The following is a 12,909-nucleotide window of genomic DNA, read 5'->3' on the forward strand; positions in this document are numbered from 1 at the left end:
CAAGAGGCAGAGGTTGTAGTGAGTCAAGATCGCGCCACTGCAATCCAGCCTGGGCGAAAGAGTGAGACTCCGTCTCAAAAAAAAAAAAATAAAATAAAAAGTAATTACAAAGACAACAGAGCAGTGCTTTTATTATTCATTCACTCATTCATTCATTCATTCACGGAGACAGGGTCTCACTCTGTCACCCAGGCTAGAGTACAGTGACGCCATCAGGGCTCACTGCAGCCTTGACCTCTGGGACTCATGCAATCCTCCCACTTCAGACTCCCAAGTAACTGGAACTGCAGGTGTGCACTACCACGCTTGGCTAATTTTCACTTTTTTTTAGTTTTTGTAGAGACAAGGTCTCACTGTGTTTCCCAGCTGGTATTCAACTCCTGCTCAAGTGATCCTCCTGCCTCAGCCTCCCAAAGTGTTGAGATTACAGGCATGACCCACCACGCCCAGACTTTGAGCAGTACTTTTAATTGAGGAAAAAATTATTTCTATCACAGAATTAAATACCTGGGCAAATTATAAATGAAGTGGGAAAATAAAAGAAAGATTTCTTTTTAGACTTGCAAGATCTTATTTATCCACCATGCAGCCTTTCTCAGGCAGCTGCTAGAAAATGTGCTCCACCAAAGTAATGAAATAGACTATGAAAACATAAAGACATAGGATCCAAGCAACAGGGAATACAACGTAAGAGGGAGGCAATCAGCCTGACCAACATGGTGAAACCCCATTTCTACTAAAAATACAAAAATTAGCTGGGCGTGGTGGCGCGTGCCTGTAATCCCAGCTACTCAGGAGGCTGAGGCAGGAGAATCGCTTGAACCCGGGAGGCGGAGGTTGCAGTGAGCTGAGATCGCGCCACTGCACTCCAGCCTGGGCAACAGAGCAAGACTCAGTCTCAAAAAAAAAAGAAAAGAAGACGGAGGCAAGAGGAATCTTAGATCCTAAGACATACAGTTGGCCTTAAGAGCAACTAGTCCAGATTAAAACAGGTAAGAAGACTCCAGGAAGGATTTCTTGAAAAAGATGAAATTAATAAAATATTTAATGTTGCAGGACGTGGTGGCTCACACCTGTAATCCTAGCACTTTGGGAGGCTGAGGCAGGTAGATAATGAGGTCAGGAGTTCGAGACCAGCCTGGCCAATATGGTGAAACCCCATCTGTACTAAAAATACAAAACAGCCAGGTGTGGTGGCATACACCTGTAGTCCCACCTACTGGGGAGGCTAACGCAGAAGAATTGCTTGAACCCGGGAGGCAGAGGTTGCAGTGAGCCAAGATCACACCATTGCACTCCAGCCTGGGCAACAGACTGAGACTCCCTCTCAAAAAAAAAAAAAAAAATTTAATGTTTTGAATGCACAGAGAGGAAATTACATAACCCATAGTTCCATAAGCAAATGAGCAAATTAAGACACTACACTTCAGAAAAAAAAAATATATTATGCAGGAAAGAAAAAGTGTTCATAATATACTATATAACTCAGCTGTCAACAGCATTTTTCCAAGTCATAACAATATAGAGAATTTGATTTAATCAAAGTATTAATTTAAGTGTGTTAAAGGAATTTATCCCAGGGATGTGAGGTTGGTTTAATATTTGAAAATCAATTAATAAGGCTGGGCACGGTGCCTCACGCCTGTAATGCCAGCACTTTGGGAGGTCAGGAAGGTGGATCACCTGAGGTCAGGAGTCCAGGCTGGCTAACATGGTGAAACCCTGTCTCTACTAAAAATACAAAAATCAGTGGGGCATGGTGGCGCACACCTGTAGTCTCAGCTACTCGGGAGGCTGAGGCAGGAGAATCACTTGAACCTGGGAGGCAGAGGCTGCAGTGGGCCGAGATGGAGCCACTGCACTCCAGCCTGGGTAACAGAGCAAGACTCCATCTCAAAAATAAGAAGAAAAGAAAAGAAAATCAATTAATATGTCATCATATCAACAGAATAAAGAACAAATATCACATGATCATCTCAATAGACACACAAAAGCATTTGACAAAATCTGACACCCCTTTATACTCTTTTAACCTCAAAGCCTTGCTTGTACTGTTCTGTTTCCCTAGAATGCTATTCCTCACCACACTTCTCCACCTGGCTAACTCTAAAAAAAAAAAAAAAACTTTTTTTTTTTTTTTTTTTTTGAGATGGAGTCTCACTCTGTTGCCCAGGCTGGAATGCAGTGGTGCAATCTGGGCTCACTGCAACCTCCACCTCCTGGGTTCAAGCGATTCTCCTGCCTCAGCCTTCTGAGTAGCTGAGATTACAGGTATGTGCCACCATGCTTGGCTAAATTTTGTATCTTTAGTAGAGATGGGATCTCACCATGTTGGCCAGGCTGGTCTCGAACTCCCGACCTCAGGTGATCCGCCAGCCTTGGCTTCCCAAAGTGCTGGGATTACAGTTGTGAGCCACCGCATCCAGCCACCATCCCAACTTTAAATATCATTTCCTCAGGCAAGTCTTCTCTGATCTCCCAGACCAAGTTATCTTTTTTTTTTTTTTGAGACAGAGTCTTGCTCTGTCGCCCAGGCTGGAGTGCAGTGGTGCAATCTCGGCTCACTGCAAGCTCTGCCTCCTGAGTTCACACCATTCTCCGGCCTCAGCCTCCTGAGTAGCTGGGACTACAGGCGCCCGCCACCGCGCCTGGCTAATTTTTTGTATTTTTAGTAGAGACGGGGTTTCCCTGTGTTAGCCAGGATGGTCTCGATCTCCTGACCTCGTGATCCACCCGCCTCGTCATCCCAAAGCGCTGGGATTACAGGCGTGAGCCACTGCGCCCGGCCATTATCTTTCCCTGTCATATGCTCCCACGGCACTCCTACTTCACTACACCTATAATTATTTGTGTGCGATCAGTATTTAATGACTGTTTTCCTCCCCTAGAAGAGAACTGCATGGTAAAACTGTATGTGCTTTGTTCATCATCACCATGGACCCTGCTCACAGTCCAGGAGAGAAATACATGAGAGGAAACATTGCAGTACAGAGTATTAGGAGAAATAAATACAAGTGTGCAATTACGATCACAGCAAAGGCAGCACCAAAAATAGTCATGGAGGCCTTAGAAACAAACATGATAGCCCGGCGTGGTGGCTCACGCCTGTAATCCCAGCACTTTGGGAGGCCTGAGGCTGGCGGATCACCTGAGGTCGGGAGTTCAAGACCAGCCTGACCAACATGGAGAAACCCCGTCTCTATTAAAAATACAAAATTAGCCGGACGTGGTGGTACATGCCTGTAATCCCAGCTACTCGGGAGCTGAGGCAGGAGAATCGCTTGAACCCAGAAGGCAGAGGTTGTGGTGAGCCGAGATTGCACCATTGCACTCCAGCCTGGGCAACAAGAGTAAAACTCCATCTCAAAAAAAGAAGAAAAAGTAGGAGGGGAAAAAGACATTTCAGGCAAAGGAAAGGATGTGCAAAGACAAAGAGGAATGGTACAGTACTGGCAAGGAATTGGCAATTAGTTTGGAAATGCTAAAATTTAGGATGAGAAAAATGGAATAAGGACAAAGAATGATGGTGGAGAAAAAGGCAAGGACCAGATTATAAAAGCTTTGTATACCACTGAAGATATCTGGATTTTATTCTTTGGTTAACAGGAAGCCATAAAAGAGTTCTAAGCAGGAAGGTGATATGATAAAATCTTTTTTATTATTATTATTTTTTGAGACAGAGTTTCGCCCTTGTTGCCCAGGCTGGAGTGCAATGGCACGATCTCAGCTCACCGCAACCTCCGCCTCCCAGGTTCAAGCGATTCTCCTGCCTCAGCCTCTTGAGTAGCTGGGATTACAGGCATGTGCCACCACGCCCGGCTAATTTTGCATTTTTAGTAGAGACGAGGTTTCTCCACGTTGGTCAGGCTGGTTTTCGATTCCTGACCTCAGGTGATCTGCCCACCTCAGCCTCCCAAAGTGCTGGGATTACAGACGTGAGCCACCGCACCCAGCCAATAAAATCTGTATGTAGAGAAATAAGTCATGGCCATGTGAAGAATTCATACTTACTCAATATACTTATGCACATAAACCTATACATGATTTACATATAGTGACAGCGGCTACTCTGGGCACACTGGCCTATGGGGTAGCCCTGCTCTGCAATGAACAGTACAAATTTAAAAAAAAAGATAGATACAGTCAGAGCTAGACTGGCTGGGTGTGACGGGTCACACCTGTAATCCCAGAATTTTGGGAGGCTGAGGTGGGAGGACTGCTTGAGCCCAGGAGTTCGAGACCAGCCTGGGCAACATAGTGATACCCCGTCTCTACAAAAATTTCTTTTAAAAATTAGCCAGGTCGGCTGGGCGCAGTGGCTTACGCCTGTAATCCCAGCAATTCAGGAGGCCGAGGTGGGTGGATCACGAGGTCAAGAGATAGAGACCATCTTGGCCAACATGGTGAAACCCCGTCTTTACTAAAAATACAAAAATTAGCTGGGCATGGTGGCATGCGTCTGTAGTCCAGCTACTCGGGAGGCTGAGGCAGGAGAATCTCTTGAACCCGGGAGGCAGAGGTTGCGGTGAGTTAAGAGTGAAACTCCGTCTCAAAATAAATAAATAAATAAATAAATAAATAAATAAATAAATAAATAAAGGGCTGGGCGTGGTGGCTCTCGCCTGTAATCCCAGCACCTTTGGGAGGCCAAGGCGGGCCTCCTGAGGTCAGGAGTTCAAGACCAGCCTGACCAACAGACCAACATGGAGAAACCACATCTCTACTAAAAATACAAAATTAGCCAGGCATGGTGGCACATGCCTGTAATCCCAGCTACTCAGGAGGCTGAGGCAGGAGAATCATTTGAACCCAGGAGGCGGAGGTTGCGGTGAGCCAAGATCGTGCCATTGCATTCTAGTCTGGGCAACAAGAGCGAAACTCCATCTCAAAAAAAAAAAAAATTAAATATATGATTAAAAAAGGATCCTATACACTCCAAAGTCAACTCCCTAACTGATATGACAAAAATTACCAATAAAGGCAGGGATGCTGAGAATCAGGAAGCCCACATTATTCTGCATTAAATACAGACTCTAGTACAAAGGAGAAAATACCATCATGTTATTAAGAGAATGACACCCAACCCAATTAACCCAAAAAGGTCTCTTTGGGATAAAGTAGCAACAAAAAATTGTTATTCTAATACCAATACCCAATTGTCTCAGACACCTACGACACTTGTGATGCCATAGTCTTCTTCATTCGTTCAGTTCTCTCTATCAGTTCTCTCTATCATCTCTCCTTTGAAAGAGATGATATGCGTGCATCACCCTCAGGAGGAACATAGGCATCAAATATACCAGCTGTAATAAAGGAAGAAAAAAATTAAGAAAGTGTTGAAAGATTGAGAAAAACTCATAAAATTGAAGTAATGTAAAATTGGGAAGGATTGTGGATATGAAGTAGACTAATGAAACAGACTTCCATGTAGAGAGAACTATGTTACACTAGAAAAAAACAAAACAAGGCCGGGCACAGTGGCTCACACCTGTAATCCCAGCACTTTGGGAGGCCGAGGCGGGCGGATCACAAAGTCAGGAATTCAAGACCAGCCTGGCCAAGATGGTGAAACCCCATCTCTACTAAAAATACAAAAATTAGCCGGGCATGGTGGCAGGTGCCTGTAATCCCAGCTACTTGGAAGGCTGAGGTAGGAGAATCGCTTGAACCCAGGGGGGCAGAGGTTGCAGTGAGCCCAGATTGTGCCACTGGGCGACAGAACGAGACTCTGTCTCAAAAAACAAAACAAAACAAAAAAAGCCAGAAAGATTTAAGTCTTCTCTCAGAGCCTCAGTTTCTACTTCCACAAAATGGAGAAATTTCACTCTTGCCTTCTAGGGACAGTGTGAAAGTAAGTTCAAAGAACAACTTCATGATATATAGTGTATATAAGGTTAATCATTATTGAGGCTGAACTGACTTCGTGCTTAATTAAATATTATCAATCATAGTCCAAGTCATCCCAAGTTCCAGAAGATCTCTGACAGAAGGATCCCAGGTCAGGGTCCCAGAAATACCTCACCTGTACAGGCCAGATGTATGGAACGGTCCGATTTTTCTGGAGGAATAACCAATCCTGCTTTCCGGGCATGTTGCATAAACTCCTTTTCTGTTTTAAATTTAGGTTGATAAATAGGAGATGTGAAACGTTTTTTAGTTCTTACTGGAACTATAGCTGCGGACTGAGTCACCAGAACTGGCTGGAAGGTAAAGGAAAGGTTAGGAACCTAGAAAAAAGATCTACTATCTTTTACAAACTCTAAGCAAAGCACTATAGAGAGGGAATATCCAAAGAATGCTTCAGGAACAATTATAAAACAATATCACAGGGAAAAAATGCATTAGGACCTTAATACTTATGGGTGTCTCTAAATAGAAGACAGTTAGCAACCTTTATTAACATCACATTTACTAAAGGCTTTCCTTTAGAACTTCCCACAGTACAGGACTATGCTAACACCTACGGATACTGAGTTGATCAAAGCAAGTTTCAAAAACTGATGGTGATGGGGAAACACCAACTCAATACTGAAATGGGCAGAATACTATTCTTTATTATTTTTTGAGGCAGATCGCTAGCCTGGAGTGCGGTGGCACGATCACGGTTCACTGCAGCCTTGACCTCCTTGGGCTCTAGCTATCCTCCCACCGCAGCCTCCCAAGTAGTTGGGACTAAGGAGTGCGCCATCGCATCCGGCTAATTTTAAAATTTTTTTGTAAAGACCAGGTCTTATATGTTGCCCAGGCTCATTTCGAACTCCTGGGCTCAAGCCATCCTTCTGCCTCGGACTTTCAAAGTGCTGGGATTACAAGTGTGAACCACCGCGCCTGGCCCTGAATGCTATGCTTAAAGCATAAGCAAAGTCCTCTTGTAGGCATCTGCTCCATATGTACTCGTGATATTTTGCTCATCCTATCGGGAGTCTCGCTGTAAACTTTATTCTGTCGTTTTAGCACCCAACTGACCAATAAACCCTCGAAAGACCAGGAGACCTTTTCTCTCTGATCATGAGGTTTGCTCAGACGGGGCGGTGACAATATGGGACGCCCTCATTTTCGGCTACTCTTCAACGTAGTTCACTTATAAGAATCGAAGATTAGGGAGTCCACCTTCCAACCCATTACTTGTCTCTCCTTTAATATCTCCTCGCCAGACAGACCCAAACCAATCCGGAAAAACTTAATACCCGTTAATTCACTCGCTCTCATGGCCCTGTCTAGGCTATCCCCATTCGACCACTGAGCTCCGCAGCTAGGTCCTGTCCACCTAAGCCTCTTCCCCGGCCTAGGTATGACTCGTATTGTCCCAGCTCACCAAGGACAATTGCACAGAGAGTATTTCCCTCGACTCTGTCCTCCTCCTGTAGCCCCTAGGGTCCTATCGGCCCCGTCCCTACCCACCTGCCGAGACCACCAGCCCAAAACCCTCGATAAACAAGAGAACCCTTGAGGTATGAGGGCTGCCATCTTGTTCCCGCAAAGGCCGCCGGGAAGGGAGCTGAGAGTGAAGAGCGTCGGGTAGGAGAAAAGCCGCATAGGGTGGAGCTAGCACAGGAGTGGAATTTTCCAGGGAGCGCGCCCTCCGCCGAAATGTGAGCCGCGAGGACGCGCACGTGCTCGCGGGAGTGGGGGAGGGTGGAGTAAGGCGGGCGGAGTACGGCCGCGCGTGCGCAGGGAGACAATGTTGGGCGTAGGGTGGAACCAACTGTTGTCACGCGCCAGCGAGAGAGCGCTTGAACGCGAGCTGCGCCTGCGCCCGAGGCTTTCTGAAGGCCGGGAATGGGCATTGCTGTATGCTTGGCACATTGCCGTTTATTCCATTAGTTAAAAAAGGAAAAGGAGGCCGGGCGCGGTGGCTCACGCCTGTAATCCCAGCACTTTGGGAGGCCGAGACCGGTGGATCACCTGAAGTCAGGAGTTCGAGACCAGCCTGGCCAAAATGACGAAAATACAAAAATTAGCTGGGCGTGGTGGCACGCGCCTGTAGTCCCAGCTGCTTGTAAGGCTGAGGCAGGAGAATCGCTTGAACCCAGGAGGCAGAGGTTGCAGTGAGCCGAGATCGCGCCACTGACTCCAGCCAGAGCTAGACTCCGTCTAAAAAAAAAAAATTAGTCGTAGGGTGGAACGCACGGTTGTCATGCGCCAGCAAGAGAGCGCCGGGCTTGGTGGCAGGCGGCTGTAGTCTGAGCTACTTGGGAGGCTAAGGCAGGAGACTCCCTCGAACACAGGAGGCGGAGGCTGCAGTGATCCGAGATCCCGCCACTGCACTCCAGCCTCGGTGACAGAGAAAGACTTTGTCTCAAAAAAAAAAAAAGAGATTGACTACTATCTTCTACTATGTTTACTAAAGCAGAAGACACGTGAATTGACAAAAACATTTGTGATTTGTCATTTCGGAAAAGAGTCACAGAGCAATTACGTAATTTACTTAAGGTTAGATAGGTGATAACTGGCAGAACCGAGATTCGAATCTAAGCAGCCTAATTCCAGAACCCATGCAGGTAACTGCTACGTGCTGCTTCATGTTGAGTTGTTAAAGGATTCGTGATGTTGGGATCACCCTGGTAAATTCAGTAGCGTAAACGTTGCTGAAAGGCAGACACTTTCCACACTTAGCCGTTGGTTATTATTCTGCCAATTACAGCTTACAGAGTTCTTATCTACAATATTTTGCAATAAGTTAGGAGCTACAGGCTGTACATACAAGAAATTTCAGGCTGAAGTGGAATTGCTACAAAGGTCGAAGCAAAGTGCTGGGGACTATCAGAGGAACTGAAAGATTGCTTTTGGGTTTGGAGATCACGTGTTGTTGTTGTTGTTTTTGGAGACGGAGTCTCACTCTGTCACCCAGGCTGGAGTGCGGTGGCACAATCTCGGCTCACTGCAACCTCTGCCTCCCAGGTTCAAGCGATTCTCCTGCCTCAGCCTCCAGAGTAACTGGGATTACAGGTGCACGCTGCCATGCCCGGCTAATTTTTTCTAGTTTAGTAGAGACGAGGTTTCACCGTGTTGCCCAGGCTGGTCTCCAACTCCTGAGCTCCGGCAATCCGCCCACCTCGGCCTCCCAAAGTGCAAGGATTACAGGCGTTTTTTAAAGCTTGACTTCGCAGCTATATCGTACATTCTTCTGTGGTAAGTATTTCCCTACAAGTTCCAGCCACAGTATTGAACCTATAGCACGACACATTAATAGTGTCATGAAATTAGTGCTGTATGTATGTGTTGAAGAGTATGTGGGGTCGTGTGGGGTGGCTCACACTTGTAATCCCAGCACTTGGAGAGGCGGAAGTGGGTTAGATCCCTCGAGCCCAGGAGTTCGAGACCAGCCTGCCCAACATGGCAAAACCCTATCTCTACAAAAAATTAAAAAATTAGGCCAGGTGCGGTGGCTCACACCTGTAATCCCTGCACTTTGGGAGGCCGAGGCAGGCGAATCACGAGGTCAGGAGATTGAGACCATCCTGGCTAACATGGTGAAACCCCGTCTCTACTAAAAATACAAAAAAATTAGCCGGGCATGGTGGCAGACGCCTGTAGTCCCAGCTACTCCAGAGGCTGAGACAGGAGAATGGAGTGAACCTGGGAGGCGGAGCTTGCAGTGAGCCGAGATTGTGCCACTGAACTCCAGCCTGAGCGACAGAGCAAGACTCCGTCTCAAAAAAAAAAAAAAAAAAATAGCTGGGCATGGTGGCCCCAGCTACTGGGGAGGCTGAGGTGGGAGGATGGCTTCAGTCCAGGAGGCAGAGGTTGCAGTAAGCCAAGATCCCACCACTGCACTCCAGCCTGGGCAACAGAGCTATTCAGTGCCTATAGAAGCATAGGGAAACAAGAAAAAAGAAAAAAATAGAATATATGTTATTAAGCATTTAAATAAGCTATATCTGATTATTTAACAGACTCCTGTCCATCTACTCTAATCCCTACAAAATAAAACATGATTTTTTTTTTCTCTTGAGACAGTTTCACTCGTCAGCCAGGATGGAATGCAATAGCGCAATCTTGGCTCGCTGCAACCTCCATCTCTCGGGTTCAAGCGATTCTCCTGCCTCAGTCTCCCGAGTAGCTGGGATTACAGGTGCCTGCCACTATGCCTGGCTAATTTTTGTATTTTTAGTAGAGATAGGGTTTCACCACATCGCCAGGCTGATCTCTAATTCCTGACCTCAGGTGATCCATCTGCCTCGGCCTCCCAGAGTTCTGGGATTACAGGCGTGAGCCACCGCGCCTGGCCAAGATTATTGATTAATGCAGAACATTAATATAATTTATCTTAGATTACTTCCTCCACCATTGAGTTTTATGTTAGCCTCACACAGTAGCCAACACATCCCACATCATCTCTGCCCACCCTCTGATCAGTTTCTCAGTTAATACAAACTTGTTCCATATCAGCCTGGATGAAATAATGATAGGGGAGTCAATATCATTTAATTGCTTAGAGATGAGCTATAAGTGAGTTTTGTTGTTGTTTGATGAGCTACTGTTTTGGAAAATTCATATCTTCCTACCTCATCAGCTTCATGGAAAATTGGGAGCTAGCCAGGCACAGTGGCTCACGTGTGTAATCCTAGCACTTTGGGAGGCTGAGGCAGGCAGATCACCTGAGGTCAGGAGCTCAAGACCAGCCTGACCAACATGGAGAAACCCCGTCTCTACTAAAAATACAAAAAATTAGCCGGGCATGGTAGCGGACGCCTGTAATCCCAGCTCCTCGGAAGGCTGAAGCAGGAGAATTGCTTGAACCCGGGAGGTGGAGGTTGCGGTGAGCCGAGATCATGCCATTGCACTCTAGCCTGGGCAACAAGAGCAAAACTCAGTCCCCCCGCCCAAAAAAAAAAAAAAGAGAGAGAGAGAGAAGAAAATTGGGAGCTGTCTGCTAGAGAAGTAACACCAAAAGGATATTTCTTTTCTTTTTTTTTTTTTTTTTTTGAGATGAAGTTTCGCTTTGTTGCCCAGGCTGGCGTACAGTGGGACGATCTTGGCTCACTGCAACGTCGGCCTCCAGGTTCAAGTGATTCTCCTACCTCAGCCTCCGAAGTAGCTGGGATTACAGGTGCCCGCCACCAAGCCTGGCTAATTTTTTCTATTTTTAGTAAAGATGGGGTTTCACCGTGTTGGTCAGGCTGGTGTCGAACTCCTGACCTCAGGTGATCCACCTGCCTCGTCTTCCTAAAGTGCTGGGATTACAGGCATGAGCCACCATACCCAGCCAAAAAGGGTATTTCTTAATCCTACAATCTTCGTAGTTCACATTTCAGAAAAAGCAAGATAAAAAGATCTTGTCACGATGATGGGAGCAAGAGAAGAGAACTCATTGTGCAAGTAGAGGAAGGAATCGATTGTTAGGGGCTCAGTCTTGCAAAGAACACTCTTGCACATAGTAGACACTCCAATATTTATTTATACAATAAGCAGATGTGAAGAATTCCAGTTGAAATATGATGAGGCAGGCCGGGCGCGGTGGCTCATGCCTGTAATCCCAGCACTTTGGGTGGCCAAGGCGGGTGGATCACGAGGTCAGGAGATCGAGACCATCCTGGCTAACACGGAAACCCCATCTCTACTGAAAATACAAAAAATTAGCCGGGCGCGGTGGCAGGCGCCTGTAGTCCCAGCTACTAGGGAGGCTGAGGCAGGAGAATGGCATGAACCCAGGAGGCGGAGCTTGCAGTGAGCGGAGATCTGGCCACTGCGCTCCAGCCTGGGCGACAAAGCGACACTCCATCTCAAAAAAAAAAAAAAAGAAGGAAAGAAATATAATGAGGCAGAAGGAAAAGTTGATTTCCTGTTTTTCCCAGTGAAGTGGGTTACTGGAATCCCTTGTTGTCCTATTGAAATTTCTAAATGGAGCCCGAAGAGGGCTGGGTGTGGTGGCTCACGCCTCTAATCCCAGCACTTTTGGAGGCTGAGGCAGGCGGATTGCTTGAGGCCAGGAGTTCGAGACCAGCCTAGCCAACATGGTGAAACCCCATCTCTACTAAAATTACGAAAATTAGCTGGGCATGGTGGCATGAGCCTGTAGTCCCAGCTTCTTGGGAGGCTGAGGCATGAGAATCATTTGAACCTGGGAGGCAGAGGCTGCAGTGAGCCAAGATTGTGCCACTGCATTCCAGCCTGGGTGACAGAGTGAGACTCTGTCTCAAAAAATAAATAAATAAATGGAGACCAAAGAGAATGAGACTCTTCCTATGTAAGCAGTGGAGCACACACTTACATTTTTTCCCCTCCCAGTGGCAGATGACATCAGAGATGGAAACTTCAGAAATTCTGCGTAGTGACCTACTTTCTAGGAGAAGCACAGCTGATTTGAACCAGGAAAATTCTTCTGGAGATCTGGGAAGAACCCAATTCTAAACAATATGATACTAGAATTGAAGCAAGTACCAGGCTTGCCATGTATTTATATTGTACTTCCCTTCCCTAAAGTGAGACTATGGAGAGCAAAATAAGTGAATTGTCCAAAATAAGGTGCCGTAGAAGAAACAAGGATCCTGACTTTCTAAGAAATATTCTCAACTGAGCTTTAGTTAATTAGTTAGTTAGTTAGAGATGGAGTCTCGCTTTGGCACCCAGGCTGAGGTGCAGTGGTACCATCACAGCTCACTGCTGCCTTAAATTCCTGGGCTCAAGGGATCCTCTTGCTTCAGTCTCCCTAGTAGCTGGGACTACAAGAGCATGCCACCATATCCAGCTTTTTTTTTTTTTTTTTTGTAGAGACAAGGTCTTGCCATTTTGCCCAGGCTAGTCTCAAACTCCTGGGCTCAAGCAATCCTCCCCTCTCAGTATCCCAAAGTGTTGGGATTACAGGCGTGAGCCACCACGCTCGGCTTCAGCTGATCTTTAGCTAGCAATATTATTAGAGCTTGTTTGTCACTCGAGTTGACTGTATATGGCTTTCACATAGTGAAA

General features: G+C 46.4%; 1 pseudogene across 1 annotated transcript in view, besides 2 other annotated features; it reads right to left on the reverse strand.

The window, feature by feature from the left end:
- MRPL45P2 (mitochondrial ribosomal protein L45 pseudogene 2) overlaps positions 1 to 7,628 on the reverse strand; it is a 42,394-nt pseudogene extending 34,766 nt beyond the window's left edge. Inside the window, exons 1-3 of the transcript NR_033934.1 lie at positions 7,402 to 7,628; positions 6,023 to 6,200; positions 5,174 to 5,303 (exon numbers count right to left, since the gene is read on the reverse strand). The product of NR_033934.1 is annotated as a mitochondrial ribosomal protein L45 pseudogene 2 (transcript). The remainder of the gene's footprint in view (positions 1 to 5,173; positions 5,304 to 6,022; positions 6,201 to 7,401) is intronic.
- Positions 7,396 to 7,495: an enhancer, noted in NCBI's record as "active region_12312". NCBI's record gives its function as "activates an Ori minimal core promoter by ATAC-STARR-seq in GM12878 lymphoblastoid cells {active_cell/tissue: GM12878}" and the evidence as "EXISTENCE:reporter gene assay evidence [ECO:0000049][PMID:35858748]".
- Positions 7,557 to 8,072: an enhancer, noted in NCBI's record as "H3K27ac-H3K4me1 hESC enhancer chr17:45569915-45570430 (GRCh37/hg19 assembly coordinates)". NCBI's record gives its function as "activates a minimal SCP1, AML or CMV promoter by ChIP-STARR-seq in naive H9 embryonic stem cells {active_cell/tissue: H9 hESC(naive)}" and the evidence as "EXISTENCE:reporter gene assay evidence [ECO:0000049][PMID:30033119]".

The sequence above is a fragment of the Homo sapiens genome, chromosome 17 (genome assembly GCF_000001405.40).
Source record: "Homo sapiens chromosome 17, GRCh38.p14 Primary Assembly".
Taxonomy (NCBI): Eukaryota; Metazoa; Chordata; class Mammalia; order Primates; family Hominidae; genus Homo; species Homo sapiens.